The sequence below is a fragment of the Homo sapiens genome, chromosome 4 (assembly GCF_000001405.40).
Source record: "Homo sapiens chromosome 4, GRCh38.p14 Primary Assembly".
Classification (NCBI taxonomy): domain Eukaryota; kingdom Metazoa; phylum Chordata; class Mammalia; order Primates; family Hominidae; genus Homo; species Homo sapiens.
The window spans coordinates 101,009,406-101,034,403 of NC_000004.12; the positions used below are offsets into that span (position 1 = coordinate 101,009,406).

Here is a 24,998-nt window from a genome sequence, read left to right on the forward strand (position 1 = left end):
CTGGATAAAATGAATCAAGATAAATTATTTGGGGACTGGATCTCATCCTCAGACCAATTTTATAAGAAAGTTGAATAGAAATAGATTTCTGTCTGCTTATTTTTTTTTCTCTCTTGGAGACTTGAATCCTGATGCTTTTGCTCATCATCAGGAAACTTTTGCTCATCATCAGGAAAAACAGACTCAAAATGCCATTTGTAGTCCATGCCTTTGGTCTCTGAAACATCCCTTCAACCTCTGCACTTCTGTTTCAGTGCAGCTGTGGTGGACAGTTTCCTTTGCTCACACTCATCTTAGTTTCAGGCCCCAAGCCCCAGCAGAGTATCTTTCTTCATTCTGTACTCGGTCCTTAGACACAGAAGGAGCTCTTGTGGTCCACATGCCGGCACAGTGCAGGAATCTGGAAGAGTTTATGCCCCAGTGAGCAGCCCTCAACCAATGGGAGTGGATGGATAAATTCTACCATTTCTTCTTTCAAGGGTGCAGTTCCAGGGGGAGTCTGTACTTTTCAAGCACATGAATGATGATTTCCACCTCACCTTCTCTGTTCCCTCACTCCTGCTTCTTAGGATAAACTGCAAGCATCCAAAGCTTTGTCTCAGCCTCTGCTTCTGTAAAACTGAAACTAAAACATCTTTCACTCTGTTGCTATATTTAATAACTTATTTACTGAAGGTAACTACATTTAACTCTACTTGCTTTATCAAATGCCTACAAGAGCAAGGACTCTGCATAATTTATCCACCATTTGTTCCCAGAGCCCAGTATAATGATTTGAGCAAGAAAGTCTGGGCCTTAAAAAAAAAAAAAGAAAGAAAGAAAAATGAAATAGCAGAAAATTCCTTTCTTATGCATAATTTTTAAAAATAACATGTACTTCTTTCAGAATTGTATAAATACCACTCAAAAATCCTTAATTCACCTTGTTTGATTTCATAACAACTACAGTTAAGGCAAAAAAAAAATGAACAGGCAGGAGAAATTTGTCAAATTATCAGTATGGAATCCATTAAAATCTAATTGTTCCTGTCATACTCAGACTCTTTCAAGAAATTCAGTAAGATTATGTTCTCATGTGCCTAGAGAAATAGCATGAACTAGGTAAAATTCTCTTATTCTGGGATTCCTTAATGGTTTGTCCTATCAACATACCTACCACGGCATGCATTTTGTTATTGCCTCTTGGCTATCTGTCTTCCTACAAACTGTACACACTCTAAGGGTAGCAACCATGTTTGTCTTATTTGCTCCATAATCAAAAGTGCGTAGCTTCAATCCTGGAACTTGGTAAATCTCTGTAGTTATTCACTGAATTAATAAATAAAAGCATCTTTTCCATTCCTTGCAAGGTGTGTTTGTTCTGCTCCTAATTAAGGTCAGTATAAAATGAGACAGGAGGATGAGAGAAGAGACAAGAGAGAGGAAAGGAGGGGAGAAAACAAAAGGGGAGGGGAGAAGAAAAGATTGGGAGATAGGAGTAGAGAGGAAGGGAAAGGAAGTGAGAAAAGACAAGGGGAGAGTAGTTCCTCATTAAGCAGCTTCTCCCAATTACTGTTGAATGTGAGAGTAGAATAGATTTACTGAGCTAAGGAAATTGTTGTTCAAACTGAACAATTTAGAAGACATTTCAAAGGATACTATATTTAAAAAGAAGTCTTAATATACACTTAACTGCCTTCTCATCTTTACTACTGTCTGAATATTTAGCAAGTACAGTTGGTATGTTTACACAGGCATCTCACTTATATTTATAAACATATCTAAAGAGATGTAGCTTGTGCTGTCTCTTTTTCACACCTTAAGAATATAAAATAGTGTGTTTCCTATCTGGTCCTGTGGGGCTAAATGTTGCTAAAACAACTAGTTGACTGGATCATTAGCAATTCTTAAACTGAACATGTAAATAACCATAAGCTAGTTAACGCCTAGACCATATCATTTTTCCTGTTTAACCTGTTTCTTCCTAAAGTCTGATGAAGGCATTACTTCCTCTATAGTTTCTCATTCCCTTTATTTAAAATGTCTCTAGTGCTCCTTTGCTCAGGTTTGGCCTGAGAATCATGAGAATTCTATAGATTATTTTCTCAAGTATCAGCAAGCTAGAGATTCAGGTCTGCTTTTTTTAACTCTAAAGTTAAAATTTCTTGGTAACTTCCACTGTGAAATAATGGGGACCCTCCTAATTGGGCCAAATATCAAGAAGTAATTTAAGTTCAGCCTCTTTAATTCAAGTATTCTTTCTCAGTTCATCATTTTCCAACCCTATCAAGTGACTTGGGGCGTGATTACTACTTGCTTTGCCCAGTAAAATATAAATACTATATTTAGCATTCCTCTGTAGATATAAACATTGTACAGCGTATCCTTTTCCATCTAGGACGACTCTTGCTGCGTGTATGTGTATGTGTGTTTGGGTGGGGATATGTGAAGTGAGAGGGGCATTAACAGAAGTTAAGGGCATCTTTCAGAGTCCAACAGCCCATCTAGTGTCTCCTACCCCGCTGCTGATGCCTTTTGGTGACTTCTACAAGCTGATAATTGTTTTCTTAGTTGTACATTCACTTCACAGTAGAAGTCCCTGGTGTTCTGGGCTTTTCAGCTGCTCATAAGCTACCAGTTGCCATTCTGATCTTCAGGTAAACGCTCTATATTTTGAACTTGTTATCCATTTTTATGCTTTCTTTTTGACTGGATTCTGTATTTCATTCCATAATTCCCAGACTGCTGTTAATTTTGTATAGCATTTCTCTGTCTCATTTCATTCTTTCTTCTAATGTTTGATAAGCAGGCCATTGGACACCCACCATTGCCTTCTTTCACAGAGGATTCCCATCTGCTAGAAAATTCCATATATTACACTGTAGTCCCCCTCACTCACTTCTGGCTAGATCCAAATTCAAGTTCCTAAGGAATGAATTGTAAATTATGTTTAGTATATCATATATTTCCCATATGATAGTAGAGGCTAGTTGTGATTCATTCATTCATTCAACAGATATGTATTAAGCACCTAGTTGGAGGAAGAACCTGGGTGTTCTTTAAATAGCTTGCATGTTAATGTGCATACTCAACTCTGGCAACCATCTTGATTTCATATGACATGAGATCAACTAAAATAAAATTTGATTGGAGTGTAACTTGAAAACTCTTAGTAGCTAAATAAAAAAAGTAATGTTTATCTCTATTGGAATAGAAGCAGCAATGGTTCACTGGGAAAGATGGGAGTCATAAAATCCCTTTTAAAATACACTGGGCAAACTGGAGAAAGGTAATTTCAGGGAATAACATTGAAAAACTGTAAGAAGGCAAAAAGAAAGTCTGTTATTTAGGATGCAGGTAAGGTGGAGAGAAGATGGTGGAGCAGACTGACAGTGATGGCCAAAAGGCTGTACTTGAATAGGATAGAGCTGCCAAGTCCTGATAAATGTTAAAGAGGCAGACCAGGAGATTGCTTCAAACTCTGTTTGGTAACAGCAGTAATTTGTTCTTCCAGGGTTCGGATTAAACAATACTTACCTAAGAGAAGAAGCTGTGGCTTCTGACTGGAGATTTTTGCTAGGAATTTGCACTTTTTCAATTTTCATTTCTAAAGACGTATTCCACTTCACTGCCAAAATGGTTTGCTCCAGTCTTTCCCTCAATAAGCAGTGAGCTAGAAAGCAAAGTCTTAGACCTGGCATCCCATTTTCATTATTTCTCTGAGTGTCTTCAGACAACTGAGCGACCAAACTTTTTCATCATTAAAATGGAGCCTAGTCACAGTTGGTCATATGAGCAATTCTGCTTCTTAAATATTTTGTTTGTAATTGTACTCACAATAGCTTTGGCCAAAATTGTTTGGCTGTGTTGAATAATAAAAATGCAGGAATTAATATACAGATATTATAAATAAAATTAGAATGACAAAAGAAAATAAAATTATGCCAGACAGCTTAAGGTTGCAAGCAGGTGATAGATAGAAAGTGTGCCTCTGCCAGGTGCAATCCCAGCACTTTGGGAGACTGAGGCGGGCGGCACAAGGTCAGGAGATTGAGACCATCCTGGCTAACACTGTGAAACCCCGTCTCTACTAAAAAAATACAAAAAATGAGCCGGGCATGGTGGCGGGCGCCTGTAGTCCCAGCTACTTGGGAGGCTGAGGTGGGAGAATGGTGTGAACCCGGGAGGCAGAGCTTGCAGTGAGCCCAGATCGCATCACTGCACTCCAGCCTGGGTGACAGAGCGAGATTCTGTCTCAAAAAAAAAAAAAAAGAAAAAGAAAGAAAGTGTGACTCTCGGATGTCTCTTTCCTGTCAGGGCTGCATGTGGCACAGCTGTGGGGAGGATGGATTGGAATGACTCAAGGAAACTGGCCTCCAGAACCCAAAGGAAAATAAAAGTGTCAGAAGATTTGAGGAGAAACATCTGGAAGCAAGAACAATTAACTTCGTGTTTTCAGGTGACTTTCTATGTGCAGTAGTATAATTAATTTTTCTCTACTACCTTTTTTTAAGAGCTGAAAAACCTGAGGAAATTGCTTTAATTGTTGTAGTTGTAAAACAAGTCATAGATGAGAAGCTGGACCTATGTGCTAAATTAAACACAGCAACATTCTATCCTTTTTTTAGCTACTATATTTATGACCTAAGTGGCTCATTTTACACATAATATCTACTCCATGCAAAAAGCTTTGGTAATAGGAGGTCAAAAACATTTGTTATGAGATTAATTAGCCACCTTCTATGCTGGTTCCCCAAAGTATCAGCTATGCCTTAGGACATACTCTGAGAAGAGTTTAAAGTTAAAATGTTCTTTACAAGAAAAGAACACTGGAAAATAAATTAAAATTGAAGGGGGGAAAAAAGGGTTTCAGCGCAGATGACCTGGTTTGTGATGGAAAAAGAGGTCAGGTATAATGTAGCATTCCATTTCATTTTTAAAATGAAAAATGCCTACATATTGGCAGGAAAAGTCTGGTCTTCTGATTCAGCCAAGGAGGTCAGGTTAAAACTTTATTTTTTAAAGAAATAGATCGTATAACTGGTTGCTTGAAATTAATTGGAATTTGGTACAATTGGAGAACCATTTTCCCTGAAGACTCATTCCTCTTAAATTGAGCAAATGTCAGCATCAGACATTAAAATACTAATGTTTGTCTTCTAATTCTCAAAGACGTATTGTGTGTGTTTCCTGTGGACATGTACACATGAACTTTCCTAGGCTGGTGTAAATGATTCATACCAGGCTGTCTGTGACCATTGATCCCTTAAATGAAAGCAGCATTTTAGAAACTATTAGTGAACTAGAAAAAGAAAGAATGATTAGAACCGTAAGTGTAACCCTTTCAGATTCAATGTCTTCTTTTTAAAACAAATATTTTTTATCTATTAGTATTTAGTTTTTATTAATTTCTTAACATTTAAATTTATATACATTAAAACTAGCGGTAGTTTCGATGTACATTTCTGAGTTTTAACACATGTATAGATTGATAGAACCACCACCACAACCAAGTAAAAGAATAGTTCCATCACACTCCAAAATTCCTTCATCCTTTCTCTTTGACCTTTACCCCCACCAGAACTCCTGAGAATCATTTGCCCATGTAACCTGTCACAATAGCTTTGCCTTTTCCAGAATGTCATGAAAATGGAATCTTATACTAAGTAATCTTTCGAGAGTGACTTCTGTTTGGGTCAACTCTTCATCATGTTTCCACACATCTTGTGGTAGCTTTTGTTCTGGGCTGTCCTTTTGAGGCCGTTTTCTATGATAGTTTCAAGGATGTTTGTTAAGATAGAGGTACTGTCTTCTTTTGAGGCAAACATTGGGCATAATTGCTGGAGCTCCTTTTATAAGGCTGGGGCGGTGCGGGGGGAGGTTTCTTTCTCTTTTTCCTTTTTTTTTTTTTTCTGAGGTGGAATCTCGCTCTGTCGCCCAGGCTAGAGTGCAATGGTGCCAACTCAACTCACTGCAACCACCACCTCCCAGCTTCAAGCGATTTTCCTGCCTCAGTCTCCTGAGTAGCTGGGATTTCAGGCACCTGCCACCACACCTGGCTAATTGTTTTTGCATTTTTAGTAGAGACAGGCTATCACCATGTTGGCCAGGTCAGTCTCAAATTCCTGACCTCAAGTGCTTCACCGGCTTCAGCCTCTCAAAATGCTGGGATTACAAGAATGAGCCACCGTGCCTGGCTGGCCAAGGCTATGAGTTGTCTTTTTTTTTTTTTTTTTTTTGAGACGGAGTCTCGCTCTGTCCCCCAGGCTGGAGTGCAGTGGTATGATCTTGGCTCACTGCAAGCTCTGCCTCCCAGGTTCACGCCATTCTCCTGCCTCAGCCTCTCGAGTAGCTGGGACTACAGGCGCCGGCCACCACGCCCGGCTAATTTTTTGTATTTTTAGTAGAGACGAGGTTTCACCATGTTAGCCAGGATGGTCTCGATCTCCTGACCTCGTGATCCGCCCGTCTCGGCCTCCCCAAGTGCTGGGATTACAGGCGTGAGCCACCGTGCCTGGCCGGCTGTGGGTTTTCTAAGGTAGAGTTCCTCAGCTGTGACAAAAACTCATGTTCATCTGAGTCTGCCACTGCATTGTGCCCATGGGTTGGGGACTAGAGGAACTGACTGAATCATGAAGCACATGCTGGCTGCTGTGCTGTGAGTAATTAAGTTGTCTCTGACCCAGGAGTCTCTTGTTTTCTGTCAGCATCTATGACACTGTGGTGGGCAAAATTGTTAACTCTGAAGCAAGATAAAGCCTCAGACACTTCACAATTCTTCATACTTCCTCCACTTAACATAATGTGTTTTGAGGCATTAGGTTATTTTATGTAGCATTAGTGTATCAGTTTCCTAGGGCTGCTGTAACAAACTATCAAAGGTTGGGTGGCTTAAAACAACACAAATTCATTTTCTCAGGAGGCTGGTGACCACAAGTCTGAAATTAAGGTGCCAACTGGGCTGTGCTCACTCTTGACATCTTTTCTTGATTCTTCCTGGCTTCTGGTGGTTTGCCAGAAACCATTTGTGTTCCTTGACTGGCAGTTACATAACTAAAATCTGTTTTCTTTGCCACATGGCATTCTTCCTATGTATGTGTCTATTTTCATATGGCTCCTTTTATATGGACACCAGTCATATTGAATTAGGAAGCCACCCTATTACAGTATGACCTCTTCTTAACTAATTACATTTTCAATGGCCCTATTTCTAAATGAGGTCACATTGTGAGGTACTGGGGGTGGGGACTTCAACGTATCTTTTTATGGGGGGGGGGCACAATTCAACCCATAAAAAGTATTGTTATTGCTAACTGCTATTCCATTGGATAGATGTACTACAGTGTGTTTATCCATTTGTCTGTTGAAGAACATTTGTGTTATTTCCAGACTGGTAATTATGAGTGATGTAGCTAAATATTTGTATACAAGTTTTTGTGTGAACATAAGTATTTATTTCTGTAAGGTAACTATCTAGGAGTGGGATTGCTGGGTCATATAGTAACTTTATCTGAAACTGTTTTCCAGAGTAGCTGTATCATTTTTGGATTACCACTAGGAATATATAAGAGTTGTAGTTGCTCTGCATTCTCTCTCTTTTTTTTTTTTTTTTTTGAGACAGAGTCTCGCTCTGTCGCCCAGGCTGGAGTGCAATGGCGCAATCTCAGCTCACTGCAAGCTCCGCCTCCTGGGTTCATGCCATTCTCCTGCCTCAGCCTCCCAAGTAGCTGGGACTACAGGTGCCTGCCACCACGTCCAGCTAATTTTTTGTATTTTCAGTAGAGACGGGGTTTCACCGTGTTAGCCAGGATGGTCTTGATCTTCTGACATTGTGATCCGCCCGCCTGGGCCTCCCAAAGTGCTGGGATTACAGGCGTGAGCCACCGCGCCCGGCCCCTGCATTTTCTTAAACACTTGATGTTATCAGATTTTTTGTGTGTAGGTTTCTTTTTTCCTACTCAAGTAGATGTGTAGTGGTATCTCATTGTGGCTTTAATTTGCATTTCCCTACTAACTAATAATGATACTGAGCCTCTTTTCATATGCTTGTCATCTATATACGTTGTCTGGTATGTTTGTTCAATCTTTTGCACATTTTAAAATTTGTTATTAAACTTGGAGAGATTTGTATATATTCTGTATACAAATTGTCTGATAGACGTGATTTGAACACATTTTCTTTCAGACAATTGTTTGTTCTTTCATTTTCTTAACACTGCCTTTTACAAAGGAAAAAATTATAATTTTGATGTGGTCTAATTTATCTTTTTTTTTCCATTCTGGTTTATGCTTTTGGTGTCATTTATGTGAACTCTTTGCCTAATCCTAGGTCACAAAGATATTGTTCTATGCTTTTATCTAAAGATTTTATACTTAGTATTTTAGATTTTGTAAATCCATGTTCCATTTTGAGTTAATTTTTGTATAAGGTATGAGGTAGAGATCAAATTCCTTTTTTCTGCCAATGGATCTCCAATTGTCTACCACTAATTTGCTGAAAAGTTATCTATTCACCATTGAAATATCTTTGTACATTTCTCGATTGACCATTTGTGAGTCTATCTCTGGACCTTCTGCTGTGTTCCACAAATTTATGTCTCCATCCTTCCATCAATACCACATTTTTTATTACTATAGATTTGGAGTAAATTTTAAAACTGGCTAATGTGAATCTTCCAACTTTGTTGGACTTTGAAAAACATTTTGGCTATTCTAGTTCTTTAATCTTTCTACAATACATAGATTTTAGAATCAGTTTGTCTATATCTGCAAGGAAAACTTGCCAGGGTTTTGATTGGGATTGCATTAAATCTAGACAGCCAATTCATTTGAGAATTGACATCTTAGCTACAGTAAGTCTTCCAATCAACTGAGCTCTAATGAACTCAGTGTCTTTCCATTTTGTAGGTTTTCTTTGATTTTTTTTATCAGCATCTTGTAATTTTATAATTTTTGTTTTCAATTGTATACATATCTTAAAAAACTTGAGGAAAAAAACCTATTATTTTTACCTACTTACTGTTATTTCTTCAAAATTCACTTAGTAATTCTCCCCTTGTTGTTTCTACCACTTTAAAATTACAAAGTCATAAAATTTGTCCAATCCTTATTAGACTCTTACATGGAAAGATTCACCTTAGCCAAAATAAATATAAGTAGCCAGGCGCAGTAGCTCACACCTGTAATCCTAGCACTTTGGGAGGCCGAGGCGGGCAGATCACGAGGTCAGGAGATCGAGACCATCCTGGCTAACACAGTGAAACCCCATCTCTACTAAAAATACAAAAAAAATTAGCCAGGCGTGGTAGCGGGCGCCTGTAGTCCCAGCTACTCGGGAGGCTGAGGCAGGAGAATGGTGTGAACCCGGGAGCGGAGGTTGCAGTGAGCCGAGATCACGCCACTGCACTCCAGCCTGGGAGACAGAGTGAGACTCCATCTCAAAAAAAAAAAAAAAAAAAGAAAAAGAAAAAGAAAGAAATATATCATAAGTATTATTCTTTTGTCCTCCCCATCTAGATTTACTATGCCTCTGTCAAGGTAGTGGTTACATTACTGTGGTAAGCAATGAATTCAGTTTCGTCTTATTTATAGGCTACTTTGGTAGTATTTTCCAGTAGTGAAACAGTGTTGCATGAGGAAGTGATGCCAGGAGCTGTGACCATCCTTGCAACCACAAGGACGGAAGCCAATAGAAGAATAGTGTGAGAAGGATAGAAACAGCCTCAGTCCTTAGTGATGCTGTTGAGCCACCAAACTAACCTTGGGTCCTCGAAGTCGCAGATGTCCTTGTCTGGGAATTGTAAATGTCTCTGTGGTTTGAACCCAGTTAGGTATTTTGTTACTTGCAGCCGAAATACCTCCTGATACAAACACTGATTTGGCTCCATCTTAGCTTCTCATTCTCATCACTTTTTGTGCCCCACCCCTCCTTTGCTTTCACCAAGTGGTCAACATATCACTATTTTTCTGGATCTTTTCCTCTGCTCTCACTTTTTCCTCTCACACTGGAGCCCCCTCTATGCCTGCCCCCTCTGCAGCCTCTCCAGCTTTCCTCTAGGTAGGAAGATTCCAACCAAGTCAGCTTTGCCTAGGTTTTTCTGACTACACCTACCTTCTCAGCCGCCCACCACACTCACAGGTGCTCACACACGCATACACAATCTTCACCTACGGAATATCTGAAGCACTCATTTGACTCTGCATGCTGCTGAATACAACAATAACTGAAGTTTACTGAGTGCCTACTTTCTGCCAGGCACCATGCCTACTACTTTATTTGCATCATCCCTTTTGAAACCCGTGAAAAGCTTATGAACTAATTACTGTCATTGCCTTCATATCACCAGGGAGAAAATGAGATTTAAAGAAGCTTAGTTTCTCAAGTTCACACAGACATCTAATAAGTATCAGAGCTATAAAAATTCCAACCCAGGCCTAACTGTAGGCCAGGACTGGTGTCAAGAACCCTATACAGAAGTGAGTACATGTGGCACACACATTGATTTATTTTCACTGCCACTGCATATTGTGAGAGACTAGATTTTTGTCTTGAATTTCACTGTACTCCTTTCTCTGCCACAGGCCTAGTAGAAATAGCTACACAATAATGCACCCAGTTGATCAGGTGGTAGTCCTCTCCCCAAGCACTCTCACATTCTCCAGCTGTGGCCTTCCCTTCTCTATAAACACAGCTATCTTTATTAGTCTGTGACTAGCCCTGTCAGAAACATATGAGTTAAATTTTACTAAGATGTTAATAGCTGACAAAGGTTGGTGGTTTCCTTCTCTGATTTGTATCTTAAAAAAAAAAAAAAAAGATTTTTAGAGAAGGTGTTTTGAACTCAAAGGAATGACTCATGGTAAAACTTCCGGAAGGTAAACAGTGTTGAATATATATTCAAAAGGCATTTTGTGAGCAAATTCTGGCAAGCTGATGGTGATAATGGGTGTGGTTGTTATGGTAAGGTAGGGTGGTGTGAAATAAGCAATCTTTTCAATATGAAAGCATTCCATTCTCTTCAAGGCACAGGCAACTTTTTTCATTGATTCTTCACCAGGAATCTCCAGATACTCCACCACCACTTATCTCCTTTTTCTGGGTGAAGTCTAATACACTAAAACAACAACAACAACAACAAAACCACCGCTTTCTTCTCATAACCTTTTCAGTTGTGAATGTTGTATTACATACTTAAATAATTCCCACATTTTTGTGTAAATTCATATCCATTAAACAACTATAAATGAAAATTAAATTAATCATACATAATCTTGTGTAACAGCCGTGTTAAGCAGTAAAATATTTGCCTGTGCTAGAAAATCTGTAGAAATAAAAATATAGAACTGAAATTTAAGTTAGCTTTAGAAATAAATTGGACTAGGTTTCTCAAACTTGTCTGATCCACAAGAATTTTGGTGGATGCTTATTAAAATGTAGGCTCCACTCCAGACCTTTGGGGACCAGGAAATTCTTACGAGAAAGAACAGGTAACATTGAACTGGGGTAAGTGTTTCAGCTGCTCTTCAATAATGGTTTGCCATTTGGAATCTGGGAGTGCCCACACCATAAGGTCATGCCAAAAAATATTTTATTTCTCCTTCCCTACCTCCCCTTCTTCCAAGAAACACTATGCCAGGCAGTGTTTCATCCTAAGAATGCAAAGATAGCAACAATGCTCACTGCAGTGCCAGACAGACAATAAACAATTACATGCAGTGGATTAAGTGTCAAAACGGAGGTAGTACAGGATACTGTGTGCTTAGAGAGGAGGAAATGACTCATTCCAGTATTTAAGACACATCTGAAATCTGCACATAGAAGATGCATGAATACAGACCCAGAGAATTGAGGAAGCCTGGTGTCTTCCGAACATTGTGAGAAGTCCACTATGGCCGAAGCTCAGGGTCAAGTTTGGGGTAGATGAGATTGGCAGGAATCAGATCGTGAATACACTTACATGCCACCTTGTAAGACTCTCTGCAGGACAGTCCTGCAGACAACCTGGAGTTGTTGAGAAGCCTAAATGTTTCCAGCAATTGGTATAAAAAGATTTGAAAATATAACATGACAAAAATGCCTTAGGGGAGAAGTTTAAGTCAACTTTGTTCTAAGCTAATATTCTATAGTCAATTAAAACTTTGATAATCTAGTGGAGACTCTTTTCAGCTGATACACAGCAAAAAACATAAAAGAGCTGCTTTGGTTGATGCAGAAAGCTCAGTCCCATGTCAGTATTCCTGGAAATACAAGCTTCTAGCCAACAGTTTGCAAATCAAAGTTCTGTGTTTTCGGAAGACTGAATAATTGCATGGATATTTAGAATCTTACGATTGAAGGGTAATTTAGATATCACCTAGTTCAATGTCTATCTTTGAAGAGAGTTTCTTCAACTACATCCAGTATAACTCCTTCCAGGCAGCATCACTCAGGAGGTGTCTAGGCACTGAATAAAGTTTGCCCAGGTTTTAACACTTGCAGCAAAGGGGAGGCACTTGCACTCTCCTGCAGCTTACTCTCTGGTTAAGCAGAGTCATTCCTTAAGCATCTATCCTATGGTAATTAGGCATCTTTCTGATTTAAAGAACGTCTTTTGGGATAACCAACTTGGTATTATAGCTATCATGACTTCTGCTGCTCACCTTTTAAGTTTCTTCAGTCCTTCCTTAAAACAGACACTCTCTCCTGCTGGGTCTCCATTCTCCCACATGCATTCCGATTTGACAATGTTGCCTTTTCAAAATTCCATCGCCAGACATAGGTGCAACAATTCTTTCACTACTTTCTGCCTCCCATTTCTATGTATGCATTTTTTAAAAAAGACATTTGTCCTGAAAGGGCCTGGTCAGGGGCTTTTCTGGCTAATATTACCTTAAAATATATAAAGAAGGAATATCCATGAAACGAAAAGAGCAGTTCAGTGTTAAGCCTGACAGTGACTCACTGTACAATGGAATGCTGACATTTAACATTATAATAAAAACTGGTATGTTGTTAAGATTGGCAGGCATTTTGTGTGTTTATGTGGAAAAAATAAGAACCTAGAACAGTGAAAGGAACATGGCAGAGACCTGGTGTTTGAGCAATGAATAAAATAAAAAGCCACATAACAAGGGAAAAGGACATCTCTTCAGTTGCGGAGATCTCAAATTTGTTCAACCCAAGGGGCTTTCAGTTTTGAAGAAACTGGTGGGGCAAACTGAAAGGTCCCCTTTTCTAAATGGAGTGTGACAAGAGGGATCCAGTGAGTGAGAGACATGAAGTAGTAAGGTGAAAGTGTGAGACATTTAAGACAGACCATTGCCATGGTGCCTCCTACGGGGCTGACTTCATGTTGGGGGCCCTGGTTTCTGAGTAGAAAAATAGATGTGTATTAAAATTTATTTCACATGGGATGTGGCGAGGGTGAGAGGGAAGAAGTGTTTCAGGATAAGGCCATTCTGAGGGTTTCAGCCTCACCATGACACCACGTTCTGGGCTGATGCCACGAGATACTTCCAGCTTTGATGTCATCCTAAGTCATACACTGTAGATGGGCAGAGATGTTTCTCTTCCCCTCCAGTTCGTTCATCTCATCACACAAGTTTGGTTTCTGAAGATTTTTCTTTTTCTCAAATACCATTTACGGAGAACAGAAGTAGAGGATATTTTAGACAGGAAAAACAGCTGATGCAGGGTCCGTCAAATCTAGCTCTTCGTTCTTGAAAACAGTTGAAAATTCAGCACTGAGTTTGAATCCCATGAGAGTGAAGTCACCGTGGGGACTGGGTGCAGGAGGTCGGGGGACAGGAGGTTGTTTCTGTGTGTATGTCTGTGTCTGTGTGTGTAACCAGAGGTACACTGGCATGAGCAACTAAAGATTTCTATAGTTTCTCCAAAAGTGAAGGAGAGAAACCTAATAACTGATGGTCTAGAAAGGTTATCCCTTTTGAAGAAATAACTAGTTCTCTATCAACTTTTTTTGAGAGACCAAACTATTATGGAAAAATACACAGTATTACTTTCCTAACCACTCATCAGAAAGACCAAGCAATACTCACATCAACTGCTTATTTTAATGTCAAATGTTTATTTCTATGCCATAGTTGCCTCAGCACAATTTGTAAAAGAAAGGAATCCAAAAAAATGAATTTTTTTTAGTCAGGATATTTTCTCTGCAGTTATAAGAAAGAAAATAAACACCATGATACCAGAATCACCATTTCTTTCACATCATCACTCTAGTAAGTTGCATCTAAATATTTTCCTTGGTTGCCACTTTTTTTAGGATGGAGAAATATCCACAGGAAAAAATGTCTGAATTCATTAAAATAACCTTGGGATAGTCTTTGCCAGACTGTATCGAGAACATCTTTGTTTGGGTATGCTATATCGCTAATTGCCATATTCTTATTATTTAATATAACAGGCATACTTTATTATATAAAACAAAGTGCACTAAAGATGAACAATGTTACAAACAAACTGAAATTTGGTGTATCTTAAATCTTCGGGTGATGATTAGATAGTAGCTGAAGCGTGGGTATACAAATTTCTTGTTAATACAAATGCAACTCTTTTCTGTGATGAAAATGCACTTAGTAGCCTAGTACTTTTTGCTTTAGCAGATAGATAGGGCATCCAATACAACTGAAACAACCTGATAACAAATTAATTTTATTTTTCAATAAAAAGGAATGCTCTGGTTTTTTAACTGGCTCCTTGAGGAAGCCAGAAGATGGCATCTGCTCTTTAAACAGGCTTCTCTTATCTGATTTGAGACACAAATCCACCAAGATTCTTTCTTACAGTGGAAGTAGGCACCACCCCTCAGATCACGAGGCCCCTAGGAAGAAGCCTGTGGAAATCAGCCTGTGATGTGTGGTGGTGGGCCAGCACCTAGAAGACACATGGTGGTTGTGCACATAAATCCCTTCAGCGGACTCAGTGGAAGGATGAGAATTCTGTAAGTTCATGCACATTTTATTGAGTAGTAATATAAAATGCTTTTTCTTTTTCATTGTTACAAGTGCATGCTTTGATTGCCAACATGTCAGAAGTCAAATTACAAAGGCAAGGCTTTAGGCTGTAGTGAATTACTTGGGCACTTATACAATTGTTAAAAAATATGAATGGACTTTTGTTGTTGTTGTTTTCAGAATGAACCAGTTGTAACCCGTAACTGATATACAAAGGGAAAAAAGTGAAAAAAGTACATATTTTGTGGCACATGACAGAACAGAACAAAATAACTAAACTGTTATGACATTAACAGTTGCCATGCATTTAGAGTTTCACATGTAACTACAAACTTATTATAATTTCACAAGGTTTGCTAAACATGCTAACCATCTACATGTGCATTGACAAGCTTATGTTAAAAACTTTAAAGAATACTCTCCCCTTTAGATTTTTTCAAAGCTTTTTTTTGATTACAAAATTTCAAAGGCATTAAGCATTTTAGAGAATATAAAGTACGCCAGTATACATACATTTCCAGTATATGTCAGACCACTAAGCGCATTACAGTCCCATACAGGCCGATACAGCCATTTTTTTTTTCTTAAAAAACATGCATAGGCAGATTTTTTTTTTTTTTACAGAATATAGATGCTTTATCACTGTACTTAATATGGTGTCTTGTTCACTATACTTAAAAATGCACCACTCATAAATATTTAATTCAGCAAGCCACAACCAAGACTTGATTTTATCAACAAAAACCCCTAAATATAAACGGCAAAAAAGATAGATATAATTATTCCAGTTTTTTTAAAACTTAAAAGATATTCCATTGCCGAATTAAGAAGAAGATAAGTGTTATATGGAAAGAAGGGCATTCAAGCACACTAAAGAAACCTGAGGTAAGCATAATCTGTACAAAATTAAACTGTCCTTTTTGGCATTTTAACAAATTTGCAACGTTCTTTTTTTTCTTTTTCTGTTTTTTTTTTTTTTTAAGACTGCCTAATTCAGTTTATAGCCATTGTCTGACAAGAGTAGCAAAACATTATCAATAAATAGTCCTTAGTTTGTACATCATTTTGTTAAAAATGTTTGATGTCATCCATTTTTAGTGCTGCGACTGTAAACGTACAATAGAGTAAGAAATTAGACAAAGTTTTCATGTCCAGTAACAGAATAAAAGGCCTTTCATTAACCTATCTAGAAGTCCCCAATGCAGTAGGAAAACATGTTCATTCCCCTAACATTGCAGTATATACTAGCATTAGCTTTCTTTTTAAAATTTTTTTTCTCTATAAGCATTTTTAAAAGGCATACCCAAAAGAGGTGTTTAATCACCATCCCCACCAAAATATAGTTTATTATCTCTCTCCCTCTTTTTTAATGATAGTGTAAACTGAATCCAATTCCTGGCCCCCAGAGCAAATAAGCTACTGTCAGAGGCAAGAACATCCAACTGCTGATATGCAGCAATCCCCATCATGCCCCGCAGCTCAAAAAAAAAAAAAAAAAAAAAAAAAAAAAGTGAACAGGAAGTGGTCACTGAATATTGCTGCTATTACTGCCATTGCTGTCCGTGCCGTTAGTCTCTGAGGTGAGAGCCTTGTTGATGGAGTTAAGGTTGGCGTCAGAGGGCATGGCATCTCTGCGAGGCGGCATCCTCTCATTAATTCGGTCTAAGCCCTTGGCTTCCTCGAAGCTAGTGATCTTATGTTGTGGTGAAAATCCTTTGATAGCTAAACAGAAAATCATTAAAAAAAGAAAACCAGGATTATCCAAAGGAAAACAAAGGGCACAGCTGTTGCAGCAGGTGATGTTAGAGATTTCTCAGTGAGAGGGAATCCTTCAGTGAAGAACAAAGTGACGGGACCTGCACACCACACAACAGACTCCTTACCATACTCGGAAGTAACCAAAGGTTTGAAAACAGCCAATGTCTCTTGCCAACCAAAATGTCCTCTTGAAGTTATTAAGATGTAAGCATTTCTCCTGTCTTCATGAAAGTTTAGCTCAAAGAAATCCAAAGTGGACACATAAAGAGGAAAGCTGCTTTCAGGGACAAGCCTCTAGAACCAGCATCAACTGGCCACATCATAAGCATCAAACACCTTAACCTAGACAGGCTGCAGCATGTCCCTCTTTGTATTCCTCCATTGTACTAGGTAATGGCAAATTCAGTGGAATCAGTATGTTTGCTATACCTAAAAACCTAGCAAAGGGCTTAAAGCAGGAGCTAAAAGGAGCTAGAAAAGGAATTAACCGGGGCATTTCCATGCCATCTCAGAATCCCAGAAAGAACTTCTTGACAAGCAACTCAATGATGACATGAAAAAAAAAGAAATTATAAACTCCTGTCTCCACTTAACTTTGGAAGCATGTGGAGTGAGTGACAAGGTAAGAGAAACTAAAAAAAAAAATCAAGATAAGGTCACTAGGTAGAAATGTATCGTCTGCCCTTCAGCAGTGAACAGGTCAAACTGATGTTCATCTGGTATCCATTACTGCCTAAATGAAAGAAAAACTCAGTAGATCAATGTAGATGTAAGTGATGGTTAAATAATAACAAGGAAAAAAATGCCTTTCACAATATTTAGCAAAAATGCATTGAACTGGTTTTGGTCCTATTCAATTAAAACATGGAATTCTCAAAGTGGGAATGATATTTGATTTTTTTAAAAAGTAATCTTTGGTGTGCTACAGCGATAGGTAAGGCATTTGTACAAAAAACTTAATGATTTCTTCAGTGAGTACACCAACTGGTGAGCTGCAAATAAAACACATAAATGGGGAACCAATGACATCAGTTTGCTTTACTCCCTGTGAAGTGCAAGCCAGATATTTCAGGGCCAATCACCAATGCTCAATTGGGCTGCATCACCATGGCTGATTAAGGATAATTTCATGGTACCTTTATCCTCCCAACCTTATTTGGGGGGGAAAAAAAAAAAAAGGAAAGCAGTTTCAAGCTGAAACTTTACCAGCCACTCCTACACAAATGTGCAGTGCCTTTTATTAGTATGGATGAGATTCCTAAAAGATATACACAGTTGTTTCAATACTCATTAAAAGATGAGAAATAGTTTTTCCCCCCTCTGCATTTTAAAGGTTAGCATAATGGTGATTAGTCAACTGTGAGAGGAATAAGATGCGAAAATGGGGAAAGACCAAGGCCCAAAGCAAAGCTTGTTAATTCTTCTCTAATTTAGTAATAAATTGCAAAATAATAGAGCTGTCTAATGAGCACCCACCCTGAAAACTAACTCAATTATTTTGAAATACAAAAGAATAGCATGAAGTGGTACTCTACTGTCTTTTTTAGACTACTGTGAATATAATTTCATCATAATTAACAGGTATAAAAGTTTGTCATCATTATCATTTATGAAATGATTTAATTAATTTAAATGGTAAAAGTGAAATTTCTAGGTTTTAAAAGCCAATAGGGTGGGAGTGTTAAAAATGTAGCTAGAACAATGGATACTTCTGGAATGGGGCTCCATTTCTAATCATTTTTGTCATCCTGGTATGGAAGAATGTGCTCTGCTGTAGTTGCTGGTCAGACAATGGGTATTAGCAATTTACATTGGTAGTATACTTAACACAACACAGAGTCACAGAAACCACAGAAAACAGCCAAACTATCAACAAGAATGCACACTGCAGATTAGAATTTGCCAAGAGGAATAGAGAATTCCCACATAAATAGCAGTTTATTCACTGCTATTTAGGAAGCAGTTGTATTTTCTCTTACAGTGCTATTGTTTCCCCTACCATATCCAAATCATGTACAAATTGGAAGAGTCTAAAGTGGCACTTTTTGTATCACACCAAAGGACCATATGCACATAATTTTGAGAAAAACAAAAAAGTTACCTTGCAAGAACAAAATACAACTGAAGAATTTTGTTTTAAAGGGGAACTTCAAATTATTATTTTTGAAATTTCCAAAGGATATGGTATGTATAATAAATATTAAAAACTATTTTGATATGCAGTTCTCTTATAACTATATATTTAAACAACAGTCAAGTAAAAAGCAAATACTAAAGGTTCGACTCTACTGTCCTTGAGCAGTGCTAGAACACAGCTGGAGATGGACACTTCTTGATGTCCCCTGCAGCTCCTAGTACAGTGCCTGGCACAAAGCAGACACTCAGTACACATTCATCAATTGAGTGCTACTTGATACTCGCTATTCTTGTTATCGGCCACTTCCACAGCCACTAGATGCTTTTGAACTTTTTATAATATTTTGCTGGTGTTAATTCTCATACAAATACCAGTAGGTTACAATTTGATTTAAGATTACCAGAACTGTTCATCTTATATACAGCTGTCTCATGTTGGAATATTTTTTAGAGATACAAATTAATGTTGAACTACAACAAAGCACTATTTAAATGAACATTTTTTTCCTTTGGCTACAAACTTCTGAAGACTAGAATTAAGATGGCTATTTTTATTCTCTTCAGTGCTGCCTGAAAGTGATTTGAGGGAGGGACATGGTTCAGCTCAAAGATTATTGTTTTATAAGCTACTGGTCAAAACAGCTGCCATAACCCCCACCCCACATCATTCAAAATATATAATCCTTTTGTTTTCTGTGATTATAGTATTCATCATATACAAAAGTCAAACATAGCTTTAAGGGAAAGAAACAAACAAACAAACCATAGAAGGACATTTTCCCCTTTAAAGCAAGAACATTTTGGTTAATACTGAGCCACAACTGTTAGCTCAACACCCACACACTCTGTACAAGCTACAGCAAAAAAATGAATACACCCAGCAGAGCCCTTATCTGTTGCAGGTACAACAGAAAGGGGACTGGCCAATTTACCTTCATCAGCCTCAATAGCCTCAACAGTAGCTGAAGAGAAGAAAGGGGGTGCAAAATGAATGAGAAAAATGAGCAGAGGATTTTTTAACTCTAAGAACAAATCAGTGACCATCAAAGGAGCTAAGAGAACTAATGTTCCTGTAAGTGCTAGATTCTGGCACAGACAACAAAACAGAAATGCTAAAAAAAAAAAAAAAAAAAAAAAAAGAAAAAAAATGCCACAGAAATTATAAATTTAATTTATGAGCTGGGTACGCCTATCTGAATTAAATGTTTTGGTTTTTGCCCACTAAATAAATAACAAACAACCCTTTAGGAAAACACTTAGGAAAATTTCTTTTACATGGACTGAATTATAAGAGATTATGTAAATCTCAACTGTGCTTCTGACTCACACAGAATACTATATAACCTCTGCTATGCTTGGTGATTTAGTTTTAAAATGCCAGACAAAATGGCAGAATTTGAAGCAGTGCCACAATATCAGTGGGATCATTCACACTATTTAATATTAAACAGCACTATTTCCTGATGTGATGGAAAAACAGGGAGATTCAAATTTAAAGGAAAAATAAAAGTCAGGGTGTCTAAGGAGATAATGGATGTGACTCTTTAAAGATAAACACATCAGGCATTACTAGATCTGGGGGTCGGTGGGTAGGAAGAGGGTGAAGGAAAAGGAAAAAAGGAAACGAATGATATAATCTGGACTTCGTTTTCCAGCAAGCCCAATTATGTTTTCTTTTCCTTAGTGGAATATCCTTTTTGGAAGTAAAATTCTTAAAATGTTACAAATCAAGTGGTAACGTGCCAGTAGTGGCAATAATTCTATCAGCATTTTAAAGAATAGGCAGCCTAAATACTGAATATACAGAAACAGCATATTTCAGAGGCAGAACTTGAAAAGCCCACTGCTTTATCAGCAATTTTTGTAATAAGGTTAGGGTCTAAACTTCCACTATATAAGTATATGAGTCTTTCTATGTTATTAAGATTAGTTTATACTTCCCTAATGAAATCTTAAAATGCAAAACTTCTCTGTAACTCCAAAATGTTTAATATTAAAATTCTACCCCTTGACTTTAATTTGCATTTTTCTTATAATTCAAGATTTTAAAACTACAGCAACTGCAAAATGTGCACTATAACTTACTTACGGTGGATTCGAGATTCCTTATGATAAAAATGGAGAATGGTTATCACCATGGAGAGAGAGAGTACATAGCAAAGTTGTAAGTAGTCTACCCTTTTAGACAAATTGAAGGGCATCAGGCAATACATTTTGGAGTCGTATCAATGTATGTGGTTTAAAATATATAGTAAGTTTTCAAACCCATATAGAAAGGTTCCAACCCATATGTCTTTTATGTGTATGTGTGTTTGTGTGTAGGTTGAACCATAGAAAAACACAAACCAATGGATTTAAAATAAAATAAAACCAAATAACCTAAGTAAAAACACAAGTGAAAATCTGGAAATGAAACAAAGAACTGGAAAAACTTAAGTAACGTAAGTTTAAAAGTAAAGCAAAACATCCAGAATCACACCAGCACTGACATATTAGAACTATGTACTGCCCACTATTAAATGTTCTAAAGCGAATGTTAAATGAACACTATTAAATGTGTTCTAAAGCCCACAGTTTCTGATAATACACTTGCTGTGCCTTAAAATGTGCTTATCAGAAACTAGATTTCAGTCAGTTAGGTAGATGGTACATTTTGGACATGTAAATGATCCATTTATGCTAATGTTTTAGTAAGATATTTAATTTGGTAGAAAAACTTTTGTGTGTGTTTTTTTTTTAAAGTTGTTAAAATAATTCCTAGCTGTAAATTTAAAGGGGACGTTTACTTCTCAATACTATGTATCTTCCTACCTTCATTTAAAAATTTTTGTCTTTTTGTAAAAACTCAAAAGACACTGATTCGGAATATATTCATCTGAAAATAAAGACAATTAATGTGATGCAGCCATGATGTGATCATTCAGCAATACTATATTCATGAAGTTGATCATTACTCTTCATGTAGAAGTTTATTGAATAATATAAATGAGAATAGTGAGTCTTCTAGGTTGAAGGGCAGGGACAGAAAAGAAAATACAAAAAAGATTCAAAGAAAGATACAGGAAAATAAGCAAGAGGCCGAGAATGTTTTGAAAAATGTTATAGCATATTTTCATTTTAATTTTTTTCTGTTAAAGCCTCATCTAATAGCAATCTCCTATTGTTAAAATTGTATTGTATGTAATAATAATAGTAGTTAAAATTGATAACAAATGTAACAAAAGTGAAAGAATATATAGGACTGTGCTGCTAACATGGTAGCCACTAGCCTCCTGGCTTATTTTAATTAAATTTAATATAAATTAGATAAAAGAAAACGTTTAGTTTCTTGGTTATATTCCCTATATGCTCAACAGTCATATGCGGCTTCTGTATAGATACAGAAATTTCCACCATCACAAAGAGCTCTGCTGGACGGCACAGGTCTAAGGTCTAGAAAGCTACACATTTTAACACAAAATCTGTATTATAAAGGAAATGTTACTCTTTTTTCAAAAATAAAATGTGGTTCTATTCAGTCTCTTGTTTTCAATTGATAAATCAGAGAAAAGACACAAATGGCTTCCAATTTCCATTCAAGAGGATAATGAAATCATCTCCTGAAAATCTAGACATACAGGTATATTTTAGTGGTTATGTGTGTATGTGTTATCTCATAAATGAAACATAACCAGAATACTTATTAAAAATGTGATTAAAAAGTTGTTTTTGACAACGGAGTGGCTCAAAGTAGTCAAACCTATTGTGCATGTAGGCAACCTAAATGAGTTGTCCTGTAGCTAGGCTGAATATGTAGATTAACATGTGAATGAGGGAATGGGGGAAAGGTGGAGTAAAGACCACATTCCAGAGAATGAGGGAGCTATTATGTTGGACATGACTGATCAAACTGATTGGGGTTTCAGCCCTTCTGCCAGCTGAGAAGAAGAACCGAAGACCAAGACAGAGCTTAAATGAATGAATAAATCAGGGCTCTAATGACACAGCTGACTGCGATGCCCCAGCACACAGTCATACCCATCAGCCTGCTTACCGCTTTGCAGGGTTTGCTTCCCTCCAGAAAGTACTCCGCTGGGGAGCATGCCAGTTGGGGTCAAGCCTTTCAGCGTCAGCACACTCTCACTCTCTTCTCTGGAAGGCACAATGAGGGGCGACATTAACTTTTAATTTCTTTTGTGAAAAAGAAAGAAATGACTGAAAGGAAAAAAAATGCATATAAGCACCCACATTTCCCTCTATCTTGGCTCTCCGGATCTTTTTTTAAAATTTTTTTTAACATACTTTATTTTAATTTATTTATATACCAGTAATGTTCCATAAACGATTGCTACCATAAAGTTTACATTATCCAATTAGGGAGGTTCTGTTTCTTTTGAGTATCGAAGCTAGATAGATAAAGAAAACCATTTTGATTTTGTAATCAGGCATCTCAATACAAAGTGTTTGTTGTGCATTCTGTATGTTAAAAGTGAGCCATAGAGAATGCTGATGTTAAGTTTTTCAGCCAAGGCTCAGCAAAAATAAGGGGAAGTGATTTGATTTGACGGAATAAAAAAACAGAGCATATGGAGATTGAAAAAAAATCTGATTTGTGGATTAGGGAATCAGGAATTACATTCAGTGGACTTTGAGAAATTAAGGCATTTAGTAATTTAGATGTTACATGAAAAACACATAAAATAATGGCAAGCAGCCAATAAACCTACTGGTAAAATTTCCCAGATTTTTTTTTTCAGTCACTTTCCCCACTGATTTGCTAATATAAAATTATTTTCTTACTCAGCATGACAATTGTTTTACAATCAATCAGTTTTAAGTACATCATTATTTTAATTATATTTATTAATTACTTGACACTATTAATCATTTTGAATTGTTAAATCCTCATAATTAAATAACCATGACTAAATAACCACTCACTCTTTCCACATAGCAATATTGCAATCCTACATAACCAGAAAAAAGTCTTTAAAATACAAATTGTATATATACACATATACACAAACATACATATATTTGCGTGTATATATACATACATAGAGACACACACACACACACAAACACACACACACACACACACACACACACACACACACAGGGAGAGAGTTTAGTATGTAGAATTATCTACTCCAAATTTTTACGAAGGTGTCTCACGTGACTCAAACAGAATTCCTGAACTTCTCCCCATAACCTGCTGCTTCCACAATCTGTCTTCAACTCAGAAATTAGCAGTTCCATCTTTTAGTTACTTAAGAGTAAGGGATCACTCTTTAACTCTTTTCATCCTAATTCTATATCCATTATATCAGCAAAAATTGAGGGCTCTACTCTCAAAATATTTCTAGTTTAACCATTCTCACAAGGCTACTACTGCATCTCTTTTGATAACAGCTTTTTTGAGATATAAACTTGGCACAGAATTAACCTAAAGTGTTAGGATTCAATCAATGGTCTTGAATATATTCACAGAGTTGTACAACCATCACCATAATCAATTTTAGAACATTCTCATTACCCCCAAAAGAAACTTCATACCCATTAAGCAGTCACTCCCTATTTCCTTCAGCCCTGTATCACTTCTAGTCACTTTCTGTAGATTTGTTTCTCTTGGACATTTCATATAAATAAAATAATACAAAATACAGCCTTCTGTGACTTCCTTCTTTTGCTCACCACCAGCATCACCTACCTGGATTGCAGGAGCCTTCCGAATGGTCTCTCTGCTCCATCCGAGTCACACTCTTGCCCCCTCCTCCCACAGCTGTTCTCAGTATGGCAGCCAGGGTGAGGCTTTTCATACCTATGCCAAATCCTGTCACTTGTGTATTCAGAACTCTCTAATGGCTTCTCCTCTCCTGATGGGTGAAAGGGAGGTTTCACAAAGGCCTTAAAATAAACAGCTACCCCACACTCTCCTGTTCGCACCCATCTCTTGGTCAACATTTCCTACCAATGTCCACTTTCCTTAGACATACCCAGCACACTCCACTGAGGGGCGCTGCACTTTCTTTGTCATCCTCCTGCCCTGGCATCTGTGTGGCTCACTCCCACTCTGCCTTCTAATCTTTGCTCCAATATCGCCTTCTAAGCAAGAACTTCCTTAGGAATGCCATTTAAAATAATAATAATCCCTTTCTCTACTCTTTCTCCCTTTGCCTATTTTATTTTTA

General features: G+C 37.5%; 1 protein-coding gene across 3 annotated transcripts in view, besides 5 other annotated features; it reads right to left on the minus strand.

Annotated features, from left to right (window-relative positions):
- Positions 381-430: a silencer, noted in NCBI's record as "silent region_15589". NCBI's record gives its function as "represses an Ori minimal core promoter by ATAC-STARR-seq in GM12878 lymphoblastoid cells {active_cell/tissue: GM12878}" and the evidence as "EXISTENCE:reporter gene assay evidence [ECO:0000049][PMID:35858748]".
- Positions 5,111-5,160: an enhancer, noted in NCBI's record as "active region_21747". NCBI's record gives its function as "activates an Ori minimal core promoter by ATAC-STARR-seq in GM12878 lymphoblastoid cells {active_cell/tissue: GM12878}" and the evidence as "EXISTENCE:reporter gene assay evidence [ECO:0000049][PMID:35858748]".
- PPP3CA (protein phosphatase 3 catalytic subunit alpha) overlaps positions 14,013-24,998 on the minus strand; it is a 324,109-nt gene continuing 313,123 nt past the window's right edge. For 2 of the 3 annotated variants that reach the window (NM_001130692.2, NM_001130691.2), the window contains 2 exons: positions 22,862-22,959; positions 14,013-16,656 (listed from right to left, as the gene is read on the minus strand). In NM_001130692.2, the coding sequence (NP_001124164.1) occupies positions 16,460-16,656; positions 22,862-22,959 (295 nt within the window). In that variant the 3' untranslated portion in view covers positions 14,013-16,459. Of the gene's footprint in view, positions 16,657-19,760; positions 19,791-22,861; positions 22,960-24,998 lie in introns of all 3 variants that reach the window. The other variant, NM_000944.5, reaches the window with a different exon arrangement.
- Positions 22,321-22,855: an enhancer, noted in NCBI's record as "OCT4-NANOG-H3K27ac hESC enhancer chr4:101952883-101953417 (GRCh37/hg19 assembly coordinates)". NCBI's record gives its function as "activates a minimal SCP1, AML or CMV promoter by ChIP-STARR-seq in naive and primed H9 embryonic stem cells {active_cell/tissue: H9 hESC(naive and primed)}" and the evidence as "EXISTENCE:reporter gene assay evidence [ECO:0000049][PMID:30033119]".
- Positions 22,321-22,861: a biological region, named in NCBI's record as "Sharpr-MPRA regulatory region 8198".
- Positions 22,567-22,861: a silencer, noted in NCBI's record as "tiled region #8198; K562 Repressive non-DNase unmatched - State 24:Quies". NCBI's record gives its function as "represses a minimal TATA promoter and a strong SV40 promoter by Sharpr-MPRA in K562 cells {active_cell/tissue: K562}" and the evidence as "EXISTENCE:reporter gene assay evidence [ECO:0000049][PMID:27701403]".